The sequence below is a fragment of the Homo sapiens genome, chromosome 18, assembly GCF_000001405.40.
Source record: "Homo sapiens chromosome 18, GRCh38.p14 Primary Assembly".
Lineage (NCBI taxonomy): Eukaryota > Metazoa > Chordata > Mammalia > Primates > Hominidae > Homo > Homo sapiens.
The window spans coordinates 69,823,462-69,850,643 of NC_000018.10; the positions used below are offsets into that span (position 1 = coordinate 69,823,462).

The following is a 27,182-nucleotide window of genomic DNA, read 5'->3' on the forward strand; positions in this document are numbered from 1 at the left end:
AGCCCATGCCACAGCTCAGAGAGCCTGCTTTCTCTGGAAACTATGTGTAGTTTCTAAGAGGGCCATTAGAGCAGAGGGTGTCAGGATGGTACTGGAAAGCTGAGGCTGGAGAAGCACATTTCAAACCACAAAGAGTCCTTAGGAGAAGGAGAAGTGTGTGTGTTTGTGTGTGTGTGTGTGTGTGTGTGTGTGTGTGTATTTTAAAGACAAAGGAATTAATTGTGAAGCAGGGGTATTCTCCATTCTCTTATATCAGCATCTTCCTGGTGCCTTCCTTCTATGACTCTGTACTTTTAGCTCCCCTGAGACCCGTTTGAGTTGCTTCTCTCATCTCTATCAAGGTTCTTCTATGATCATTTCATAGGATTTATATTTGGAAAGAACTGTCTACAAAAAAAATAGCATTTACTCTAAAAATACAATTTGTATTTCATTTGCACAAGTCAGAAACTTACGTGTTTGAAGATCAAAAGTTATAATCATTAGATGATAGTGCTACCAACCTGACCTGTGTGTGGTATGTGTTCCAAAAAAAGCAAACAGAAACTTACATCAGACAGCCTTGTTATAGTAGTTATTTTTCTTTTTTTTTAAAAATTATACTTTAAGTTTTAGGGTACATGTGCACAACGTGCAGGTTAGTTACATATGTATACATGTGCCATGTTGGTGTGCTGCACCCATTAACTCGTCATTTAACATTAGGTATATCTCCTAATGCTATCCCTCCCCCCTCCCCCCACCCCACAACAGGCCCCGGTGTGTGATGTTCCCCTTCCTGTGTCCATGTGTTCTCATTGTTTAATTCCCACCTATGGATGAGAACATGCGGTGTTTGGTTTTTTGTCCTTGCGATAGTTTGCTAAGAATGATGGTTTTTACAAAAAAAAAAAATTTTTTGAGACAGGGTCTCACTCTGTTGCCCAGGCTGGAGTGCAGTGGTGTCTCAGCTCACTGCAGCCTCAACCTCCTCCTGGGCTCAAGCAATCCTCCTGCGCTCAAGCAATCCTCCTGCCTGAGCTTCCCAAGTAGCTGAAACCAAGGCACGTGCCACCATGCCAACTAATTCCTGTATTTTTTGTAGAGATGAGGTCTCACCATGTTGCCCAGGCTGGTTTCAAACTCCTAAGCTCAAGTGATCCTCCCACCTTGGCCTCCCAAAGTGCTAGGATTACAAGTGTTAGCCACTGCACCCAGTGTCCTTCAAATTTTTAACAAAAATCGTTTACAAACCACTTCAAACCCATTCACTGTCATGACCCCTTGTGAATCCAGGCTGAAGTGTTAATGAACACCCAAATGGTATTTATTAAAGGAGATTGGTACCGCCCTGTCCTGAGAAAGCCACTTTAAATTGCGGCTCCGCAGGACTGAATGAAGTGAAGACTGAGAGGAGTCATATCCAGGGTATGATTCTTTTAGTCTTAGTCTTGAAAAATTACAAATGATCATTCATTTCAACTTCAACTGCTTTTGTACTTAGAAAAATCTCACAATTCAAACTATTTTTCTAAATTTCTTTCTAGTGTTACTTAATGCTTATCTACTTCCTTATTTCTCAAGGTCTTTGTAATTTCTTTTCATCTATAATGTAGAGAGAGAACATAAACTAATATGTTTCTCCAAAGAGCTACCCAAATTTCCCAGTACAGGAAGTTTTTTTCAAATTTGATAGAGGTATAGAGACTTGTGTGCAGGCTTAGAGACAAAAAGACTCGAACAAACATAAACTGTTTCTGTCTTTGATTTAGTAAGATTTAGAAAAACTTAATTTATGTGACTTACCAATTTGCATTAAGTCAATGTTATTAATTATGGAAACATAAATGGTTTACATTAAAATACTCTTATCTTCTACTGCAGTAGTGAGAGCACAGAGTGAATTTAGGAACATTAGCCAACCCATTGTCACCAATGTAATCCAAGAATCCAAGAACATTGCAAACGGTTTATCAATCATAACTTCTTTTTTTTTTTTTTTTTTTTTTTTTTGAGACGGAGTCTTGCTCTGTCACCCAGACTGGAATGCAGTGGCACGATCTCGGCTCACTGCAACCTCTGCCTCCTGGGCATGCTATTCTCCTGCCTCAGTCTCCCGAGTAGCTGGGACTACAGGTGCCCACCACCACGCCCGGCTAATTTTTTTGTATTTTTTAGTAGAGACGGGGTTTCACCGTGTTAGCCAGGATGGTCTCGATCAATCATAACTTCTATTCAAGATTTAACTTTCTATTCTATTAAATGATTATTACTCATAAAATAAAACAGAAACACTAATGTTTCTGACTTTCACAATTATGAAACGAAAGTAAAACGTAAAGAGATAACAAATGTTTGGGAAAAAATATTCTCATAGTCAAGTACATACAAAATACAAATAATTCAGATTATGCTGTGCTCTTTTGAAAATCTTGTAACAGTGTGGCATTAAAAAAAAAAAGCATGATGCTTGCCTTGCACCTTTGCCTGTAAAATATGCTTTTATTTGCAAAATATTGTCCTTTTCCCCAATCACTGTGCTGTATGGCAGTGTTAACATTTTGGAGGTCAGTGAAGAGTTTTGAGCTGGTAGCCTGAGTTCCACCATTACTGTCTGTGTACTTCAGTGTCCTCATCTAAGAATGAGGATAAGAGCACCTCTCCTGTAGGCCTATCAGGTCTATTAAGTAAATTGACATAAATGGGATGTCTGACACTGCTAGTGCTCACTAAGCTTTCAGTATTATCATGAGCCTAACACTCTGCTACTTGATATGTGATTATATTTGACCCAAAGTAAGCTGGTAAGTGCTAGGACTGGCCTTGGCATCTGTACTCTCAGCCTTTTCCATATCCTGCAGGTTTTCAGTTCCATCAGAACATGGACCAGAATATTGTAAAGTAGCAGTTACTCTGAACGTACATTTCTTTAGCCAAAAACATTAGTATTTAATATGAAAAATAATTCATAAAAATATATCTCAAATATATTCTTCCAATTAATACATTAAAGACTAATAAGGGGTTAAGATGACAATTTTTATTGCTGCCCACTGGCAGAGTGGTACTATGGCTAATAAGGGTTGCTAAACCCACCTAGAAAAGTGTTCTCCTAAAACATGAGGAATGTCAAGAAAATTCCTTCTTTCTCCTACAATCTTGACTCCATTTTCATGAATCTCTGATCTCTTACTTTCTATTGGGATGGTTACAATACTAGTAGAAACATATTGCAATATCCAGTCCAGTAGGTGTTACTAACTAGAAAGTTATTTAGATTTCAGATTTCTAGGCTCTGAAATTATTGCATGGTTTATTCATTGTATAATGCAGACCTTAGAATCATGAACTTAACTGTAATAAATAATTATAGATTTTTCTCAGTAAGAATAAACTTTCTCAATTCCCTATCATACCCACCCCTTCTGGTCCCATTCTTATATAGATCTGTATCCACAATTCTCAACTCTCCTATTGGATGCTAGAGGATTATAATTTGCTGCAGAAAATGGGGAATTGTTACTAAACCTTGGGAAATGCAAATAAAACCAGAAGCTTCTTTTTAATCTCTGTACTAGTCTTGCATAAAAACAATTGTTTGATCTAGGGATAAATTGTTACTCATCAGATATAGTATAGTGGAAACAGAGTTGAAAGCAGCTACTTGGTAGTCCCATTGAATGAGCTTCCAAACCATAAATCTGATCCAATCACTCACTTTCTTAAAATCATTCAAAGCTTCCTATCACCTATTAGAAAAAATTATCCAATCTGTTTGGTAGAGTATAACAAACTTTCCATGACTGATTCCCTCTCCATTCCCAATCTCATCTGCTACTACTTGCCATTTGGATTTGGGTATAATTCATAATGATGAAACATAAAAAGTTTTAAAGCCATGACCATTTGGACATTGTAGCCTTATAAGAGTGACAAAGGGAATATTTACAAATATGAAAGTCAAAATTTTGTTCCTGATGATCAGAATGCTTCCCAGATCTCTGAAAAATTAATCTAATCAGTTATCAGAAAGAAAAGCCCTAGGCAAACTTCTTCTTTGGTAATTCATTTTGATAATTACATATCAAACTTCTAGAAAGTAAGATGAAAATTCAGATCTTTATCAAGTTAAGCAAATTTTTTTAACACATATCGTCGAAGTCATTTCAAAAGCCCTTGGACTAAATGCAAGCTTAACCCTGTATCCACCACAGAATAAAATTGTGCTACATTATATGAATGCCAGATAGTAAATTTTAAATAATTTCATGATGTTTCTTATATGTAGCCTGAGCTTTCTGCATACTGACTCCTCTGTAAATGTACGTAACATTCAATAATTTTGTCTATACTATTTCTTTTGTAACAAATCTTTAAGTATATATTGCGCAGAGAAGTCTCATTCTCATGAAAATGTGTTTTCTTGCATTCATTTAAATTTTTAGAAAAGAAATGTAGCAAAATTTTCAAGTTTTTTCTTAATATATCGTTTTAAGAACTATAAACTTACATGTATTATTCTTGTTATTGATTTGTAGGACATTAATATGGTGTTTCAGTAAATTTCTTTAAATAGCTCACTTTATGGTTCAGATCTCTATCTAAACCGGGAATACTGTACTTCATCATCCTAAGTAGTTCCTTGATTATTAAAACTCTCTAATAATATGTTCAGAAATTAAAACAAAGATACTTTAATATAATATTCTTTATGACTGAGACTTTGAAGATAGCAATGAAATATTTATAGTTTAAAAACTAAATACCTGAATTTTTCATTATATTTTCCCATTCCTCTTGTTAATCAACATTAGTGAATTTTTATTTCATGTATTCTCCAGTCTTTATATAATGTTTTCACTTAGATTATGCCATTTTAACATTTACCATTTTACTGGCTGTCACAGATTGCTTATAAACTTCATAATTATTCAAATGAATTATCTATTTGCTAATGGTAAAGAATTCATCTAAGCTTTGCAAAGAGATCGCAGTTGTAGAAAATTAATATCTCACTAGGTAATTACAATAATTAAAATACAAGAGAAATTAAATGCAAGCAACAGAAACAAATGAATGCTACATTGACTAAAATAAGAGACATAAGACTATTTTTATTATGGAGAATTTATAAAATAGCTATGAAAATATAATTCTATTTGAATCAAATTAAACCATCTTCAAGACAAATCAAATTATTATAAACTACATTATATTCACTATATTTTAGTGTTTGGATATTGCTGTTAACCTACCAGTCTTTTTATAACTGTGGGCTGAGCACTACATAAAATTAAATGATAGGCAGTTTTCCCACTCAAATATTTCTATCTAAGGTTTAAAGATATAAGTAAAGAATAGTTGCATATCCACTTATGAGATAAACAAAAAAGAACCAAGCTTTGAGATGAAAGTCCCATTATTAATAGCAATACATTTATGTGTATATATATATATATAGTATGTATGTTAGAGAAAGGAGAGAGTGAAGGGAGAAGGGGAATAAAAGCCTTTATAAATTAACATTTGGGTAATAGAATGTTTTTTAATTCTGTAAATCTCAAAGATGAGGTTAAGGAAATCACAAATCTCCCACATAGTAAAGCAGCAAAAAGGAGAGTGAAAATAGACAAGATTAGAAAAGTACCAGATCAGTACACCACTTGAACATATAATTAAGAAATGATCCAGAAAAAGAGAACAGAGGTGGAAAAGAGGGAGAGAAAACAGAGAAATGGAAGGAAATAATTAACAGGAAATTATTTTAATAATTCTAAATATTTCTTGGAAATGAGAGACTTTGGTTCCTTAATTAAAAAAAAAAAATACAGCTTTTCATCCTGAAGCTTAAAACACTGGAAACAAAGAGAAGTTTCTAAAAATTCTAAACCAGACAAAAACTAACACTATTGTTATCTAATATTATCCTGCACCATTATGTACTAACTCATTTAATACATGATTCTATTAGTAGAAACTATTATGATTGCCATTGTACAGCTGAGGAACTTGAGGGAAAGAGTAAAGAACTTTCTGGATGTCACCCAGCTGGTAAGTAGTGGAGCTGGAAGTCAAACCAAGTAGTCTTCTTTTAGAGTTTATACTATTAACCATTACACAATATAGGAGTCCTTAATTTAGAGTGAGAGCCAAGATAAATTCCCAATGAATTAAAGAGCTAAAGTTAGAAGAAATTTATGAAAGTATTAAGAAGAAAGTAGGAGAAAATATTTTAATATTACTGCAATGAAGAAAGACTTGTTATCAAGACACAAAACCCAGAAAACACAAAGACAGATTTGACCACGAGAAATGAAATACTTTCTATAGGAAAAAAAAAAAGAAATTAACAAAACAATGAGATGTAGTTTTTTGTATTCAACTTGGAAAAAAGATTTTTAAAAATCTAATAATATTCATATCTAATGTTAAGAAAGAAAGTACTTTTATATCCGTTAGGTGGGAATGTAAATTAGTGCAATGCAATTTGACAGTTTATGTCAGAAACCTAGTGACATATAACAGCCATTAAATTAAAACTAATTTTTTTGACAATTTGAAGAATCAGAAATTACATGCCATATTTAATCATTGTATGTAATTTTAAGCCAAATTATATAATTTCACAAACAAGTGCAAATACCTTCCAGAAAAAAGGCCAAGAAAATAATTGTTCCAACGTCCAAACCCACTAAATTATGTACATTAATTATGTTCAGTTTTTGTTACCAATTATACCTCAATGAAGCTGGAAGAAAAAAAGTCCCTAGAAAAAGAAAAGATGTTATGAATTAATGTCTCCTGATTCATTTTGATTTTTATAGCTTGTTATAGACTGACTTTATCCCCCCAAAAATACATAGGTTGACTCCCTAAACCCACATACAACTGTATTTAAAGATAAGATCTTTGAAGAGATAAGTAAGGTAAAATGAGATCATATGGGTAGAACCTCATCTGATACAACTGGTGTTCTTATAAGAAAAGGAGATTAGGACAACTGACATGCTCACACACAGAGGAAAGGCCGTGTGAGGACACAGCACAAAGATGGCCATCTGCAAACCAAGGAAAGAGGCCTCAGAAGAAAGCAACCCTGCCAACACCTTGATCTTGGACTTCCAGCCTATAAAACTTTGAGAAAATAAATGTGGCTGAAGCTACCCAGTCTGTGGCATTTTATTATGGCAGCCCCAGCAGACTAAGACATAGCTTTACCTGTTTGAATTGTTTTTTGTTATTCAGCAACACACTTCACAATTTTGAAGGAACGTGAATCAAGTCTTAAGGCATTGAGTTGTGAAAATTGACATTACTTCTTCTCTGAAGCTGTACTGTATCCTAAAGTGACCCATGTGTTTAAAGAACTTCTATAAGGAAAAGGAGAACATGTTCAGGGCAATGCTTTGGCTTCTGTTTCCAGGAAACCTAGGTCTGACTTCTTCTGCACTATCCAGCTTGGCAAGTTGTTAAATACCTCTGAGCTTCTAATTTATTTTTTTTCCACATGTAAAATGAAGATATGTGTATGAGTAAGGGTTTTCCAGAGAAATAGAACCAGTAGGATACATATAGATATATAAGAGGAGATCTATTATGGGAATTGGCTCACCTTATTATGGAGGCCAGGAAGTTCCATGATCTGCCATCTGCAAGCTGGAGACCCAAAAGAGCCAGAAGTGAGACACAGTCCAAGTCTGAAGGCCTGAGAACCAGGAAAGCCAATGGTGTAGGTCCCATAGTCCAAAGGCCTGGAGCTCTGATGTCTGAGGGCAGAAGAAGATGGATGTTCCAGCTCAAACAGTGAGAAAATGTGCCATTCCTCCTCTTTCTGTTCTATCCAAATGGACTGGATGATGCCCGCCCATATTGGTGAGGGCAGATTTTCTTTTCTTAGTCTACTGATTCAGATGCTAACCTGCCCTCAAATACCTACACAGACACACTCAGAAATAATGTTTCACCAGCTATCTGGGCATTCTTTAACCCATTCCTGCTGACACATAAAAGCCATCACAATATGCAATCTCACTGTACAGAGTTGATATGAGGATTTTTAAAATATGATTTCTAAGGTACTTAGCACTGGATCTACATGAAATACATGCTCAATGAACAGTGGTTATTATATTATGGCTTTTCTACATCACTGTCTTTATGGATTGAAACCATTGATCTTCATTCCCCATTTCTCAAATGTGCTGAATATGAGCCTGGACACCCCCAACAAATCTACTTAAGGTCATGAAGCTACTGAGACCCTGAGATCTCCAAAGGAATTTCAGAAGCACTCTAGGAGAGCACAGTGATCAAATCATAACCATACTAGTCTGGTTTGACTTATAATTAAAACAAATTGAGTAAAATTCAGATACAGTTTATAGAAAAGATGTTGGCAATAAGTCCTAGTATTGCTAAGCATAATTAATATATGGTATATTGATTTTGTATCCTGCAACTTTAGTAAATTTATGTACCACCTCTAAGAGTTTTTTAGTGGAGTCTCTAGATTTTTCTAAATATGAGATCATAACAACTTCAAACAAGGATAATTTGACTTCTTTTACAATTTGGATGCCCTTTCTTTCTTTTGCGTAATTGCTCTGACTAGGGCTTCTGGTACTATGTTGAATAAAAGTGGTAAAAGTGGGCATTCTTGTTTTGTTCCAGTTCTTAGTGGAAAGGCTTTCAATTTTTCCCCATTCAGTATGATACTAGCTGTGGGTTTGTAAAAAATAGCCCTTATTTGGTTGAGATATGTTCCCTCTATACCCAATTCTTTGAGGGTTTTCATAATGAAGCAATGTAGAACTTTATCAAGTGCTTCTATAGCATCTATTAAAATGATCTAGTTTTAGTTTTAGTCCTTGATTTTGTTGATGTAATGTATCATGTTTATTGATTGTTAAACCATCCTTGTATCCTGAGGATGAATCCCACTTGATTAAGGTGAATGATCTCTTTAATGTGTTGTTTAATTCTATTTGCTACTATTTTGTTGAGAATTTTTGAATCTATGTTCATCAGAGATATTGGCCTGTAGTTTTCTCTTTTTTTCTATATTTTTCTGGTTTTAGTATCAGAGTCATACTTGCCTCATAGAGTAGGTTTGGAAGTATTATCTCCTCTTCAATTTTTTGAAATAGTTTAAGTGAAACTGGTATTACTGATAGGCAAAGGTTGGCAGTGATTCCACTAGGTCCTGGGCTTTTCTTTGGTGGAAGACTTTTATTACTCCTTCAATCTCATTATTCATTATGGCCTGTCAGTAGTGTTTCTATACACTAACAGCGAACAATCTGAAAAAAAAATAAAGACAGCAATTTCATTTACAATGGCTACAAAATATAAAGAAAACAATTTCATTTACAATAGCTATTAATACAAATATAATACCTAAGAATAAATTTAACCAGAGAAGTGAACATCTTTACAACAAGGGACAATATAAAATACTGATGAAAGAAATTGAAGAGTACAAAAAAATGGAAAGATATTCCATGTTCATGGATTGGAAGAATAAACATTGTTAAAATGTCCATACTACCCAAAGCAATCTACAGATTCGATGCAATCCCTATCAAAATACCAATAACATTCTTCACAGAAGTAGAAAAGACAATTCTAAAATTCACACGGTACCACAAAAGACCCCAAATAACGAAAGCTATCCTGAGCAAAAAGAACAAAGCTGGAGACATCACAGTATCCCAATTCAAATTAAACTACAATGGTATAGTAACAAAAACAGCATGGTACTGGCAAAAAACAGAAACACAGAACAATGGAAAGAGTTGAGGACCCAGACATAAATCCACGTGCTTACAGCCAACTCATTTTTAACAAAGATGCTGAGAACATACCTTAAAGAAAGGACAGTCTGCTTAATAAATGGTGCTGAGAAAACTGGTTATTTATACACAGAATTAAACTAGAGTCCCATCTTTCACCACATATAAAAATAAACTCAAAATGGAGTAAAGATTTAAATGTAATACCTAAAACTTCAGACTATTAAAAGAAAATATTGGGGAAATGCTACAGGACATTGGTCTGGACAAAGATTTTGGGGAGTAAGACCACAAAAGCACAGGAAACAAAAGCAAAATAGACAAATGGTATTACATCATGCTAAAAAGCTTCTGCACAGCAAAGGAAAAAAAGCTAACAAATAAATGAGACGACCTAAAGAATGGGAGAAGATATTCCTAAACTATTGATTTGACTAGGTATTAATAACCAGAATATATAAATAACTCAAACAACTCAGTAGCAAAAAAAAGCAAAATGTAAAAATAAGCAAACTCCTGAATAGACATTTCTCAAAATAAGATATACAAGTGGCAAACAGATATGTAGATATAAAAGCTCAACATAACTAATCATTAGAGAAATGCAGATCACAACTACAATGGGATATCATCTCACCCCACTTAAACTGTTATTATCAAAAAGACAAAAAATAACAAATGCTGTCAAGGATGTGGAAAATGGGAATGCTCAAGTGTTGTGGGAATATTAAGTAGTACAGCTATTATGGAAAATAAAATGGAGATTTCTCAAAAAAACTAGCAATCCCACTTCTAGGTACACATCCAAAAGAAAGGAAATTAGTATGTCAAGGAGGTATTTGCATTCCCATGTTTATTGCAGCATCATTTACAATAGCCAAGATAGAGAATCAACCTATGTCCATAAACAGATGAATGGATAAAGAAAATGTGGTACATATACACAATGCAATGCTATTCATCCATAAGAAAGAATGAGATCCTGTCATTTGCAGTGACATGGATGGAACTAGGGTCATTATGTTAAGTGAAATAAGCCAGGCACAAAAAGACAAATATTACACGTTCTCACTCATATGTGAGAGCTGAAAATGTGGATCTCCTGGAGATAGAGAGTAGAACGGTGGTTTCCAGAGGCTTGGAAGGGAAAGTGGAAGAAGGAGATAAGTGACGTTGGTTAATGGAAACAAAAATACAGTTAGATAGAAGGAATAAGTTTCAGTATTCCATAGTATAGTAGATAAATTATAGTTAACAATAATTTATTGTATTTTTCAAATTAGCTAGTAAAGAACTCCAATATGTCCAACACACAAAAAGAGATAAATGCTTGAGATGATGAATATCCCACTTACCCTGACTTGATCATTACACATTCTATACATGTTTCAGAACATCATGTGTTCTCTCAAAATATATGCAACTGTAATATATTAATAAAAAATATACAAACATACATTTAAATAGTAAGTTTATTTATTACAAGATGTCGTAGAGAGCCCTGGGTTGCTTCTACTTACATCTGGTTTTCACATTTACTTAACTGCCCAATTATTAGATACTCTGTATGTATTAGTCCATTTTCACACTGCTATAAAGACATACCCAAGACTGGGTAAGTTATAGAGAGAAGACATTTAATTGACTCACAGTTTTGCATGGCTGGGGAGGCCTCAGGAAAGTTACAATCATGGCGAAAGGGGAAGAGTCACATCTTCCTTGGCCTCAGGCAAGAGAGCAAATGATCAAAACAGGACCTTGCCAAACACTTATAAAACCATTAGATCTCGTGAGAACTCACCCACTATCGCAAGAACAGCATGGGGGAACCAACCCCATAATCCAGTCACCTCCCGTCAAGTCTCTCCCTCAACATCTGGGGATTACAATTCAAGAGGAGATTTGGGTGAGGACATAAAGCCTAACCATATCACCATAAGAAGCTTCTGGGCCGGGCGCGGTGGCTCACGCCTGTAATTCCAGCACTTTGGGAGGCCGAGGTGGGTGGATCACGAGGTCAGGAGATCAAGACCATCTTGGCTAACACGGTGAAACCCCGTCTCTATTTAAAAATACAAAAAAAATTAGTTGGGTATGGTGGTGGGCGCCTGTAGTCCCAGCTACTGGGGAGGCTGAGGCAGGAGAATGGCGTGAACCCGGGAGGTGGAGCTTGCAGTGAGCCAAAATCGCACCACTGCACTCCAGCCTGGGCGACAGAACGAGACTCCGTCTCAAAAAAACAACAACAACAACAAAAAAAAAAACAGCTTCTGGCCCCCAATTCATTGCAGTAAGAGCCTGTGAAATAAATAAAAGGGCTCTCTTCTGTACCCAAGTCGTTCCTTCCATTCTGTCTCCACCATCCATCCATGCTTACATCTGCAGCCTGCCCGCTCCTTTTTTCTCTAATGGCTAGAAGCTTACTTGTTAAAGGATGACAGCGTCTCCTCTGTGTCTATCTAGGCCCAACTGTTAATGCTTTGACTCTGGGCTGCTTGTGTCCTCATCAGATGACTTTGTTATTTATTTATCACATTGTTTGTTGTTTTCTTTGTTATTTATAGGGACAGTACCCTTTTATCTCCCCCAGATTCTAACAAAGTAATAAAACACATAAATTCAAACTATTAAATAGCTTTACCAGGCCCATTGTCTTTTACCAATTAATACTGCAAGTTTTATGCTTTGGGATCTTTCTGACTTTCTACAAAAACAATTTCCTTCATAGTATATATCAAGAATAAAATCAGTGTTATTAAGATAAAAATTCAGAGACTAGCCAAAAGGGAACCCTTGTTGGTCATTCTGTGTCAGCAACAATGCATTTCTTAATTCCTCGGGAAGGAGAGGATATTCACAATGTGTTGTCAGTCTCCATTTTTTCTTCCATTCATAATGTGAATCTCTGGTCTTGCATTTCAATTTGATTGTTATTTTCTACTGAATTTGTGCTCCTTCTAGTTCATTACTGGTTTGGATTTTTTATGATACAGCAGGGAAGCTTCTTTTTAAGGCTAGAGTGGTTTTGCTTTTATTGTGTGATACTCTTGAGTTCCTGGAATTAGAGAGAGGGTCATATAATTTTGGCAGAATAAAGCAAATGTTTTAAATGTCTCTGTAGCCAATATATTTTCTTATTTATGGAATGGGACTACATTTCTAGGGCATGTATACATACCTTAGTGAGAAGCTGGCAGGTAGTGGTAGTATGAATGTCATTTCAGAGTATACTTGAACTATGAGATAAATGTGATATGTTTTTTTTTTCCCCAGATTGTCAACATTACCTAGATATATGGGTAGAAAATAGTATTTTCTATTAAAACAAACATGAATGCACAATAGATTAGAAAAGGTAAGAGGACTTTTAAAATAAACCAATAACCATTAACAATTTTATTGCTTTTAAATTGTAGCATCCCTTAGATTCCAAAGTTACATATTTGCCTTATTTGTCTTTAGTGGGTGATCTGGAGGAAAAGTTTAGGAAGCATTTAACTAGAGTCCTTGTATAGTGTGATGAGCAAGGCTGTTGCATCAGGTTTTTAATTGAAGCCACAGAGTTGATTTTTATTTTGTTTTGCTTCCATCAACACTGTCTAGGGGCATAATTCAAATGAACATTGAAAAAATGCTTAATTATTTCTTTTTTATTCTCATACTCATTGTTGCCAAAATCAGACAGCATTTACAAAACCTTCATATATAGAGTACTGACTGAGGTATGCTATTTTTGTAATATGTATTAAATAGCATCATTTGTGAATTATCTGTAAAGAAACGGTTGCAGTAAGAAAAATCATAATTTAATTTCTAATTAGACTAGAAATTCTTCACAGAGGAGGTGAAGAAAGCGATGCTGACCTTGAGGGGGAGAATATTCTAAGTATGTCATAGTGAATGTCTTAGTCTTTTTTGTGTTGCTATAACAGAATACCACAGACTAGGTAATTAATAAGAAAAGAAATGTATTTGTTACAGTTCTGGAGACCGGGAAGTCCAATATTGAGGGGCCCACATCTAGTGAGGTCCTTCTTCTTGCATTATCCTGTGGTGGAAGGCTGAGGGGCAAGACAGGATGAGACAGCAAGAAGGAGCAGAACTCACTTTTATAGCAAAGCCACTTCTGTCATAATTAACCCACTTCGGTGGCAATGAAATTAACCTATTCATGATGACAGAGCCCTCATGACCTAATAACCTCTTATTAGGCCCCACTGCCCAACACTGTTGCATTGAAAATTAAGCTATCAACACACAAACTTTGGAGGACAAATGTGAACCAATTACCAGTGAGAGACAGCATGTTGAGATGGTGGAGAAAGCGCAGGTGTTCAGCAAAAAAAAAAAAAAGTGCAAGAATATCACCCCTTTAGTGCAGAAAAAAGAAAATTAACATTTATTGCCTATCTGTCATACTAGGTGTCTCCTATATGTTGTTTCATTTAAATCCTGAAAATACCTTGGGAAACTATATTCTCCCCATGCAGAAAAAAATGAGGCTCCAAAAGGCATGGAAGAACTCATGTCTGTCTGTTTCAAAAGCCCATGGTAGTGGGGGAGTTTGCACACTGTGCAGAGGAAGTTATTTGTGATTATTGAAGTGACATGTACAGTTTTATAACATGCTCTTCTAAGCCCCATTGGCTTTCCTCTGTGACCCTGTATAGCACTGGCTGTATGGACTCTTGATTTGATGTTTATTGTTGTCTGTCTTTGACCATCATTCAAAACAGCATGTGGACTCTAAAAGTCATACTTCCACACTTTGCCTTTCCTGTGGAGCCTGGAATTTTTTAATAGATGATGGTTAATATTAATCGCATGATTGACTTTTTACATCTAAGATTCTAGGATTTAAAAAAAGTGTTAATAAGCAAAGTCTAATTTGAATTTTCTTTTTTTATATTTTTTTATTATAACTTAAGCTTCACTTCTCAGCCCACAAGTAGTGTGAATTAAAGCTGCCTCAGCATTTGTTCTCTTTCAGATATGTCTAAAACTTTAAAAAAAAAAAAAAAACAGGATAAAACCAAGGCCAGGAGCATTATCTTAATATTATACTTTCCAGCTATCTTATGCTGATAAATGCCAGTATCCCCAATTACAGAAACTATGAATTGTCATCTAGAGTCAATGGTAAGATGAGACAAAATCATCAAAACTTTTAAGTGCTTTTTCCCATATCAGCTTAGTGTATCAGAACTTTGTCATTTCATCATGCCAAAATGCCACCTCCTTAGGGAGGCCTTTGCTGACCTCCCTAGTTACCAATCCTATTTGGCGATTACCATGACATGGTGGCAGCACTTAGCATGGATTAACTCATTGATTTAATACTCAAAAGGATCATATAAGCTAAGTGCCACTATACCATCCAGAATTTTTAGATAGGGAAACAAACCCAGAGATGAAGTAATTCCCTTAAGATGGGTTACAAGCTAGGAAGTAGCAGAGGCAACATATATACCTGGTGTTCTAGCTCCAGAGATCCTACTTCTAACCTCTAACTACTCCCTTAAAATCTCCCCTAGCCCCTCCCCTAGAGCCTCCCCAGCTCCTCCCCCTTCCCTAATCCCTTCCCTAGCTGCTCCCCTAACTCCTCCCCTAGTTCCTCCCCTAATTCTTCCTGCAGCTCCTCCCCTAGTTCATGACTGCTTCTTTCCCTAGCCCCTCCATTAGCTCCTCTTTCCCTAGCCCCTACCTTAGTTCCTTCCCTAGTCCCTCGAACTCCTCCCCAAGCCTCACCCCTAGATTCTCCCCTAACTCCTCCCCTAGATGTTCTCCTAACTCCTCCCCTAGCTCCACTCCTAGTCTCTCCCTAGCTCCACTCCTAGTCTCTCCCTAACTCCTCCTCTAGCTCCTCCCCATCCCCTCCTGTGTCGCTCCCCTTGTCCCTCACCTAGACTCCCCCTAGCTCTTCCCCACTCTCCCTAACTCCTCCCCTAGCTTCTCCCCGAGCCTCATCTCCTTAGCTCCTCTCCCAGTCTCTCCCTAACTCATCCCCTAGTCCCTCCCCTAGTCTCTCCCTAACCCCTCCCCTAACTCCTCCCTAGCACTTCCCCTGGTCCTGCCCCTAGTCTCTCCCTAGCTCCTCCCATAACTCCTCCCCTAGCCCCTCCCCTGGTCTATCCCATGACTCCTTCCCTAGTCTCTCCCTAGCCCCTCCCCTAACTCCTTCCCTAGCCCCTCCCCTGGTTCCGCCCCTAACTCCTCTCCTAGCTTCTTTGGTAATCACTACCTTAACCCATCCTTTAACTCTCTTAACTCCTCCCCTCCTCTGCCCTGCTTCATTTTTCCTTCACTATATCATCAGGGTCTTGCAGGAAAGAAGATGCACTCAGCTGAGATTAAAAGAATTTGATGAGGAGGCTGCTTCAAGAGCTGGGGGAACCGATGAGAAAATGCAGACATGCGCAACAGCAGGAAGCATCACCACCCTCAGGCCTGCGGGCCAGGCGAGGAGGAGTGCGGGGCAGGACCCTGGGAGAGAGGGGAAGGAGGGACTAGTAGAGCCTCCAGGCGCCGTGGGGCAGAAAGTTCTGGAAGCTCAGAGGACTGGCGGTGGCAGAGCCAGGGGCGTGGGGCAGGAGGTGCGAGGGAAAAGCCCCTCTTCTCTTTGATCCCCTCTTGCTGAGCCTGGTGCACTTTCCTTGACGTGGACAGCAACAGAATCCAGGACATAGTGAATCTAAAACAACTTTTTTTTTAATGCAAGATTTTTCTCTCAGTATTTTGACATTTAAATGGTTCTACCGCTAAGTGGTTAAGTGGTTCCGTTCTAATTAGCCTTTTACCACCCAGTTCATCCGAGTTTCCTCCCTGCATCCCAAGCTTCCCACAGTGAGAGAGTATTTTCCACGTCGCCAAACACACCTGGCAATAGAACAGGCTGAAAGCGAGTGACATTGCCAAGGACAGAGCCACCTGCGGAGCCTGACACAGAGATGGTCGGTGCTCGGCGTTAACAGATTGTCTTCTCTGTGTTCCTCGCCCAGGCGATCAGATGACACACAAATCAGACTCAGCACAGTCCCTCCTTTGGGTAAAATAGAAACTCTGAAAGAGCATGACTTACTACATCTATTTTTCTTCTCCCTCTAAGCTCATCCATTAGATACAAGTCATTCTCAAGTATGAAGAATAATTGCTGGCTTAAAAAGGATGAGGGGGAAAAAACAAATAAAGATGAGGAAACGACTGGAAAGTTCATCAGAAGCTTTAGTTAGCATGCATGCGTTTCTCTGTACATTGTTAGCATTCTGAAAAGTTTTCGGTAATCACTTCTGTTTTCGGTTTGCGATAGACTATTTCTCATGCAGGGGTGCAGCTGAACAACCAAAAGCATAGACAGAATTTTCTTTAAATGTATTTTGTATGGAATTTAACTTTTGGCCATTTTGGTAGCCATCGAGCTTAATTGTTTGGGTTAACCATATCATGAAGTGAGTTCAGTGACGGTGACTCACACACCGGCTAGGATAAGTCAGAATCTCTATCATTGTAAAAGCTTTCTTTCTGATAATTCATGGTTACTGGTTAGGGTAAAGCACAGCTTGCCTGTTCCCAGAGATTTTAAGAAAGTGTGTAATTTGCTTTTATATGCTGAAATTGAGCATAAAGGAAAAGAAAGCAGCTTACAGGCTCTCCATTAAAAACAGCTTTTTCTGGGGAAAAGCTTTTCTGCTTTTATTTCAAAAGTTGAAGAACAGCAGAAGTTTCAGATTCCCTAGAAAATCTACCTAGCTCTCTGGCATCCAGAATTTTTGGCAAAGTACATTTGGAGGAAATATTGAGCTCTGAATACATTTTAATTCATCAAGGATCAAGGCAACAAGATTGCTCAATTTTTACCAACTTATCTTGAGCTCAATATTGAGGATGTGAAAGCTGCTGCCTTGTTTATTGTTCTTAAAAATATAGATAGATAGATAATAGATAGATGATAGATAGTGTATCTTTTGTGCTTCTGAATCTGTTTCTCAGTAGAGCTCTCCTTTCTTCCTCTCTAGGTCATGGGTTTGGTTCGTCAAAGATGTCTCGTGCACAGACATTTCCCAGCTACGCCCCAGAACAGAGTGAAGAGGCCCAGCAGCCGTTGTCGCGGTCCAGCAGCTATGGATTCAGCTACAGCTCCAGCCTCATCCAATGACACACAGAGAGCCGCTGTTGACTAGAGAGACAGTCTGTCCTGGACCCGTCTGTGGGGTCATTACCCTCTGCCTCCTGGAAGACCAATTGCAGTACAAATTGAAATGGGTCGGCTCTAGCCCCAGTCCCATTGGAAGGTTAAAAACTGGAGTTCTGCTTCCTTGATTCAGTGGCTAAGTCCTTTATTTATTGAATTTCTTTGGGGGAATCTATGTTTTACATAAATAGAATCCAAATCGTATGAACAGTTATTTAAATAAACAAAATTCTTTGGGTCTGACAGTAACAGAAACCTCAGCACTGGGAAAAGTTGCCCACACTGGGGTATGCCTGGGTGATGGGCACCTCTCACTGACCTCACAGCGCAGTCCGCCCATCTGAGCACAGGGTCTGTCCTTAGACATAATGGTGACCCTCCACAAGCTCTGTGGCTTTTAAAGTTCTGACAGGGATAAATACAGTAAGCTCTGCAAATGACATCGTAGCTGCATATAAATAAACCCAGTGACAATTAAAGGAACATGAAATTCAGAACACACTATTAAGCAGGGCCCTGTAGCTCTACTCGTGTGTGTGTGTGCGTGTGTGTGTGTGTGTGTAGACAAATGGATATTGCTATATCCATCTATATATAACAAGTATATATCAAACATGTGCTGAGGGTGACAGGATATGCTCACTTAAATTGTTGAAAACCATAATTTGGTGCATTAAAGTTAAGATTGTTATGTTGAATAGCTATTTTTAAAATAGTGCTGTAAAAAAAAAAAAAAAAAAGGCTTCTTATTAGCAAAAGTATATGTAATCCAGTCTGTTCCTAACAAGTGTAAGCAAAAATGTGAGAAGGGGAACATTCAGAAGCAAAAGAACCAGTCTAGCTGTCCTACACATCATGTCATACCCTGTCTTTCTGGTGAGCGTTTCCTTGTTGCTGACAATGTTGCTCCCTGTGGCCATCCATCTGAGCTACGTGAGGAGGATTCCATGTGAACGCCGATCAGCTTCCATTTAACCTTGAGAGAAAAGAGAGGTTCTAAATGAAGAACTCTTTAAGAAAGAAAGAATACACCCATAAAGAACTCAGCTATTTTGCAGTAAAGAGAAGAACAAAATGGGTACAGGATTGTGGATATCATAGATGCTGTTCTCACACAACCACTGGGGGCTTGTAATTTACTGTGTAACCAGAACTTGCAGGGCTTTATTTTTTCTTTTACTGGACACAGGTTGTCTGAGATTATAAGAAATAAAATAGATCAATAATTTTCATCATCCCTGACACTGATTACAAACCTACAGTGTTTAAAGGGAGGTAGTGAATTCCACGGAAACTGAGTTTGGCTAATTCAGGTCAACAAAGATATATTTGCCCTTAATTCTGGAGTTAAGTAAAAATAAAAATTATCCTGCCTGAATCATCTGATGCTTTGTGCCTAAGATGGTTATCTCTCAAATACTCTAGGGTGGGTTTAAAGAACAGTGAGCTCAGGTCACGCAAGATGAAAACCCAGGTTTTTTTTTTCTTAATAGGAAAATTTTTTAAACTATCCAAATTAGTCTGTTGAAAGGGTACCTTTTTTGCTGATCTCTGATGAGTTGTCTTTTCATCCCTATCTGTAGCTTGAGTGCAGATTGACAATTCATTTCAGTGAATTACTACCGAATAAAAGTGGTTCCGGATCCCTCCTAGATAAATGTGCACTTACAGCAACTACCTAGGCTCTCCAAATCACTCCACTCGGTATGAAAACCCCATCAAGATACTAATCGTAAGAGTTAATGTGGCTGCAAAAAATAATTATCCTAAGCTTTCAGGGATAAAAAGAAAATTACCCAGGTTCTCTGCACTGTGAATTTTGCTGACACAGCGGAGGAGCAGATGACTGGTTCCTACAACTGTACAGCCTTCCTTGAAATCATAGCTTTTGGGGTTAAACACTTGTGAATTTCTTTTGCACATGGCATTTGCTTTTGAAATGCCTTTAGTCAAATACACCAGAGCAACTCCCAGCTGAGACCATTTGAGCACAGTTCCTAGTGGGGCCACATTCAGAGCAAGCCTCTCGCCGGCTCACTCAGTTGAGCTGTTGCTTAGACACCACAAGTTTCTACAAGGGACTTATGGGGAACGGCCCTCAGGGGTCCTGGTTCACATCTCAGCTTTATTCATGTGCTGGAAGCACAAACAGCGAGTCCAGGGAGGGATTCTGCTAATCAGATGAGTCTGCTCTTGTGTCTCTTTCTTAGGAGACAAATACCTGTATGTAATTGCTTCAAGAACTCCATTTGGTTCTGATCATTACCAATGAATATAACTGAAGGAGCACCAAAGATCAGGCATAACCTCGGGCCAGTTCATTCTGAAAATGATGTCGTAAAAAGAGTATGTGTGAGAGAAATCTCCTTCCCAAGTTTTTAACCAGATCTCGTCACAATGAGGAGAATGCTATAATCTATCTCATGGTACATTTTTGGAGCTTAATTCTAGCATACTCCTCCAAGTACACTCACAATTGTAGCTGAGTCAAGACTGCTAAATGAACAGATAGGAGAACTTATATTAGACTAATATCCTTGACACGAAGCAGGGTTCATTGTAATAAAAACGGCAAACAGATAAATCTTCTACCAAAACCAAAGATGGAAAGTCACTGCACCAGTCTCCTGGAACTTCATAAAATCAATTTCACTGGAGCAACCAGAAGGGTCATGGAGATGTATACCACTCGCTTGGGCTCGTAGGTTTTTGACTGGGGATGCCTCTACACTTTGTAAGTCATTTCTCCCTTCAAAAATTGTATTATATCTTTAATATATGTGTATTTTTCAATGCGAGGGAGGAATTACTATGAACCAAAGATATCTTTTGGCTCCTTCTGAAAGTGACTCAGTTTGAATTCCATTCAGATTTGTACAGATAAATAGATGGTCACCATTTCTGCATCAGGTTGGAAGAGACCAATGATAAAGGAACCCAACGTAAGGAATAGCAGTTCTGAAAATAGACAAAGCCTAGAGGAGGTATCTATTTCACTGAGAGATTACACGAGGGGACTTATTTTTTATGTTCCCAATTTTTTCTTCTGATAATATTAATCAATGTACACATGATTGATGCATGATATTACACTTAAAATGCAGGAGAGTACAAAACAACCTTGATCCAATAGTTTCCTATTCTGGGGGGTGGGGGCAGAGGCGGAAAAGAAAACACATCTTTCACTTACTTATTGAACAAACAATAAGCACTCAGAACTAATTTATTTATGCAGGTTGCAAATATGTATGAAGCAATAGGTTCTGGCCACTGCCACAATTTGAAATCAATAAAATAAGAAATATATATTTATATATGAGGGAAGATGCTGTTTGATAGAGCATGTGAAATCAATGGAAACATATTTATTAAAAGTAAACCTCACCTTTTTCACCAAATAGTAACTAGAGAACTAGTCCTAGTATCTTGCGTAATTCTTCTCTGTCTTCATTGGGAAATTATGTTTGAAAATCTTTCATCACCTATAAAATGGTGAGCCTCTTGTACTTTCTATTCAGTGTAGAAAGAGTGGACTGATAAATAACTTTACATTGTTGGTAGTAGTTTCTACAGATCCAGTTTATTGCATGTCGTATCTTTATTGTAGATATTAAAAACACATGATAAAAATTGATGTGTGCCCCTCCTTGTTTGGCCAGTATCACAGAAAACTTTGTAAAAAAGCATGGGGACCCTACTCCCTAGATTATTTGAGCCATTTACTAAAATTGGCCATTAGTGATACAGTGAAAACAAGCTAAGGAAATGATATTCTCCTAAAAAGTTATATTCCAGTTTTGATTATTATAACACAGCACAATAAATGGGCAGTATACGTCTAATGGAACTGAGATTTAAGGCTTTAACAATTCGTGTTTTAAAATATTATATTGAAGACTGCACAAAGAGAAAATTATACATGTTTCTCCAATCCTGTGATCATGTCTGTAAATACCTTGCAATTTCAAATTACTTCATCCGTCATTAACTATATGATCTCCCAAACACAGCCTTCTCAAAATCGATAAAAATTTGCCACTGAATATGCATTAATAGCTATAACAATGGGTGACATGCCACACAAATTTAGCTTATGCAATTTATGGGGTGTGTGTTTGCAGACTATGAAATGTATGAAGTGCAGTCTCCCATGGAGAGAATAGAGAGGCAGGATGGCAACTAGTCATGAACGCAACAATTTAGGTTAAATGATAAAGAATACAATGAAATGTCCAGAGTAACACTTGGTCTCTACCTTTCTAACATTCTAACCCAAGGCCAGTGTCATGGGCTTGGCTTTCTTCCCTGTCGCCTCATACTGAGTATGCAATTTACAGAGGACATCTGTTGCTTTATGTCTTAAGGCCACTAGAGGAAGTCACTACATTCCCAACAAAGATGTGTCTTTCGGCTTAGTGAAAAACATTTAACAAGAAACAATGTGTAACCAAGTCCCCACAGTAAAATGTGTCTTCAGAAACATGAGAATCACTTTTATATAGCCAACCTCATTTGAATTTTATCATGAACATAAATTATCGGTGAGACTGGTGTGCGGGGCTGGATCTGTGAGACAAGCTCACACTCTCATGTGTGCATTCTCTATTAACATATTTGGAAGATTGCCCACATTTTCTCTGCAGACCTGCCACAAATCCTTACCTTCTTACTGAAGAATGTGACTATTGTAGCATTCGTGCAATTATGCCAGCAGAGGAGGCACTAGACAGTTTATAGACTCTTATGGAAGTTGGGCACATTTCCCAGGCAGGTGGAATGCTAGCTAGATCTAGAAGCACCCTTAAAGGTCATGTAGAATCAAGGTCCCACTTTATGTTTCCCTTGGGAGAAAACTGAAACCCATGGATGCTGTAATTTGTTTAACGGCAAAGAAAGAGCCAAGAATTGTTTCTCGTAGTTCCAGGGTCCTGATCTAGGAATGTTTCCTTGGCTCCATGGCATCTCCCAGTTTGACATAGTGGGAGCTGAGAAATGCCATATGGCCTCAAAATAAATAAACCCTTGTACATTTAAGTGTTTTCCCAGATTTTCAGATGCCTCTACTCTTGCTGAACTCATCACCAGCTGTATCAGTAGAGAGGTGTTATGGGGCAATTCATTAGATTTCTGGTAGGTCATGAATGGTTGGTATAAGCTTTATTTACTCATATATTGTCATCCAGTTCTTTGAAATTCAATCTTATCCTAAAGTGGTAGTCAAAGTAAAACACATTAAGTAGGTGTTTGTGTTTAGCAGTCCTACTAATTCATCACAATCACATAGTAATTGTGATTATAATTTTTGGAATCTTTATCACTTTCTAGCACTTTACGGTGTCATTATTTATGGCATTTTTAACAACTTTGTTGCATAATTGATAACATCAGGGCTACATTTTTTTCATGTGAGCCTCAAGAAGCTTCCATTATCAACAAGAATTGGGGAAATGACTTTTTTACATTATAATACCTTATATATTAGGTTTTTCCTGATAATCTTCAGTAGACAATGATTTAAATTAACTGAAGTTTAAATAAGAAATATGTTAAAATTACTAAATAATATGAAAACCACATTATACTTGTAATTTTCAGACACTTTTCTCCTACCTTAAGATTTTAACATCTTGTAAATATTAATATTTGAAGGGGAGAGGAAAAATACATTTGTAGTAGAAATATTCCCTCTAACAATTCTGTTTAACTAGTAAGTTTTTTTTAAGTTATCTTCCATGCCTGCTTCCCTAGTCTGAACTCCACATTCCAGTTGTCAGAAGAATGAATGGATTTAAATTTTCTAATCATTATTTTGGGCCCATGTTAGCAGTTGAAACAATTAAGTTCCTCACTCTTTCCTGCTTTTAGGATGATTTTAGACTGTGAGCATAAAATCAACCCTTTCTGTCAGCACAGAATTGAACATCGAATGGAGCAAGGTCTACACTCTCAGCCTGTAGCTGTGCTAATGTTAGGATTGAATTGTTCTATTAATTCCCTCAAGAGACCCACAGCCTCAAAAGAGTTGCTTATTATCAGATGTCCGAAATTCAGAAACCCAAAGTCAGGCAAAGAAGGAAACTGAGATAATGATTTAATTTTTTTAAGTCACTGCAGGATTTCTCTCAAAGAAAACATCTGAAAATGGTTGAGAAAGTAGTTCCAGATCATTAACTATTTTACAGAGGGACTGAAAGCCAGGGAAAATAAAGAACAGAATGATAGTAGTATCTTGATATTAAATTTGCATCAGAAATGAGCAAAATATGTCAATATGAAATAATTTGAAATCAAATTCAGATTCACATGTATAGTGCATAGTTCAAGAAATAATGCTTACTCTTGTAAAAAAAAAAAATATATATATATGTATCAGCAGGTAGAGTGTGGGAGCTCCAACTTTGTTGTGAAAGCTGATAACAGAGTATGATTCTTTCCAGTTACAAAATACTGTATTACTTTAGTTATAGCAAGCAGTACATAAATGACATCAACAACTCAGGCTGCTCCCTGACATAAAAGCCAGTTCCATCTTTACTGCAGATGACAGGAGACTTTCCAAGACCTGCAGAGGCCCCCTCCACCCCAACCTTAGTGCATGCTCACACACACACACACACACACACACACACACACACACACACACATTTTTGGCTTTTGACCCACTCTGTGTGTTCCACTGAAGTTATCTTTTCCTTAATAGATTCACACAGAATTACCCCATCCTGCAAAATCCTTATCCCTATGAATCTCTAAAATATATTAAATAATGTGTTATATATTTGCTTTTTGTAAATCTTTATTTAATTAATTTATATATACTTTGTGAAGTCTTATACTGTACATCATAAAGCGATGTCATCTGTAGTTGGTTCAATATAATGTTTATGATCATTTTGATAAGAAATAACTTTGGACATTAGGCCCTTGTTAAGAAATAAAACACCCATTATAAATTTGCTTCTGTTGGAAAATACATGATTTGGCATACTTCATTTTTAGTAACAATCTATTCTAGATAAATGATAATTTGGGGACATCTGTACTTAAAAACTAGCTGAACTACGTTTTGGGATGAGATGCAAAGCAACAGCTGTCCCTGGAACTGAAATGTGAATTTCTAGCAGAACAGAAAATATTATAATAATGAGGCAATAATAAAATTAGGAAATTAAATTATTTTTAAATCTGTCTGTGTGATTTTTCCCCTTGGTAAAAATACATGAAATACATAATTGAAAAATTACCTTCTTCTGAAGTCGTAGTTTTTAATCTTAACCATCAATAAATAAACCTATTGTTAACAATGTCTTATTCATAATTCTAAAAAATTTACAAATGATATTGCTATGAGGTTGTGCACTATTAAAGTTTGCTCCATCACTTAAAGGTAAAGCAGTTCAAAAATACTACTTTACATCACAACTTTGCATGGCTGAGATTTTGAACAACTAAATTGATGGTTTTACCCACAAGTTATTTCATAAAGCTAACACTGTAATATTACTTGGTTTTCTTATACTTTTGTTATCATGTGATGAAATGTAACTATGTAATTAAACAAAATTCTGACAATCATATTCTGCTAATGTTTAAAATGTTACTTATTCCTTCACTTATTAGCTTGCTATTTTGAAAATAAAGTGAAAGAAGGCCCTTTATTAAATGAAAGGTTACCGATAATTTATTATGTATTTCCAACGTTTTCCTAACTCCATCTTTTAATATAATTGAATTTTTATTAGGTTGACTCTGGTCTGAAGGAATTATAGAATTTAATATGGAAAATGACACTAGAGATTAACACTTTCGGATATCCAGGCCGGGCGCGGTGGCTCACACCTGTAATCCCAACACTTTGGGAGGCTGAGGCGGGTGGATCACTTGAGGCCAGGAGTTCAAGACCAGCCTGGCTAACATGGTGAAACCCCGTCTCTACTAAAAATACAAAAATTAGCTGGGCGTGGTGGCAGGCACCTGTAATCCCAGCTACTCAGGAGGCTGAGGCACGAGAATCGCTTGAACCTGGGAGGCGGAGGTTGCAGTGAGCTGAGATCGTGCCACTGTACTCCAGCCTGGGTGACAGAGTGGGACTCGCCCTCAAAGAAAAAAAAAGATATTCAGAGAGCTTAACTGGCTTGCATAATGTTGCACAGCTAGACAATGGCTTTTCCTACAGAACTCTGCTAATAGACAAAAAAAAAAAAAAAAAATTGAAAATAAACATCATTTGGTAGATAAAGATTTAACTTCAAAAGTGAAATGCATGCAGCTGTGACTATCATGCTGTTATCAATGGCTTCTTTTATTTTTCAGCCCATGATTAAGTAGCCTTTGCCACTCAGATTTAGACCTGTCTAGAAATACACTTACAGAATCTGTTTTTCAAACTTAACCTTTAAATATTAGCTGGGCATTTCTTATGGGCTTACTAGATTAATTTGTTATGAGTATTTTTCCTTTTAGAGAATAATGCTTTTAAAGAGAGTGTGAAGCTCCAATAATATCAGAGAAATCAAACTAGGTGAGAGAAAAGGAATCAAGCAGTCAGTACTGTTAAAAATGCCCTTCAATGGGTAAGTCTGGGCCAAATTCATGAATTGAAGAAAACAATGAAAAATGTATGAGACCTTTCCATTTTATGCAGCCAATAGAAGTTTGAAAAATGTTCAGGGGTGGCAATGATGATGAAATCACCCATTCTTTGTCAATATTGAATGAAATACAGCTTATTCTGAATATGAATTTTTAGTGATACATTTTCGTAACAAATTGGTTGTATGAACTTGATGAATTTTCTTTCCCTTTTTGTCACTATTAAAATCATGGAGACTATATTTACTTGGGAAAATGTATTTAGAAATAATGTAAAGGTTTATATAAGCTTAGAGCTAACATCAAAGAAGGTATTTAATAAATATACGTCACGAGGCACAGCTCAATAGCAATTATGCTGCTATTTTCGTAATGTACAAAGAACATCAACTCTTTCTACTTCCAGTTTAGTCAAGAAATATATTTTTAAAAGATTTATCTAATATTAGCATCCATATGGTGAATTATTAAAATAAATATTTGAGTAAGAGCTGCATAGAATATCAAAACATTCATGGAAGTATGAATTACACTAATATGTAGGTATCTCTAGGGTATTAGCCTGCTGATTTCATCTGATCTCAAAGGCCAGTCAATCACTACTTTTTGCGTAACTGCTACCTCCAAAACAT

At 36.9% G+C, this 27,182-nt stretch overlaps 1 protein-coding gene across 3 annotated transcripts in view, besides 1 other annotated feature; it reads left to right on the forward strand.

The window, feature by feature from the left end:
- DOK6 (docking protein 6) overlaps positions 1-25,626 on the forward strand; it is a 448,200-nt gene extending 422,574 nt beyond the window's left edge. For all 3 annotated transcript variants that reach the window (NM_152721.6, XM_017025610.2, XM_017025611.2), the window contains one exon: positions 17,783-25,626. In NM_152721.6, coding sequence (NP_689934.2) covers positions 17,783-17,922 — 140 coding nt within the window. In that variant the 3' untranslated portion in view covers positions 17,923-25,626. The remainder of the gene's footprint in view (positions 1-17,782) is intronic.
- Positions 15,764-16,265: an enhancer, noted in NCBI's record as "H3K4me1 hESC enhancer chr18:67506461-67506962 (GRCh37/hg19 assembly coordinates)". NCBI's record gives its function as "activates a minimal SCP1, AML or CMV promoter by ChIP-STARR-seq in naive H9 embryonic stem cells {active_cell/tissue: H9 hESC(naive)}" and the evidence as "EXISTENCE:reporter gene assay evidence [ECO:0000049][PMID:30033119]".
- Positions 25,627-27,182: the final 1,556 nt, after the last annotated feature.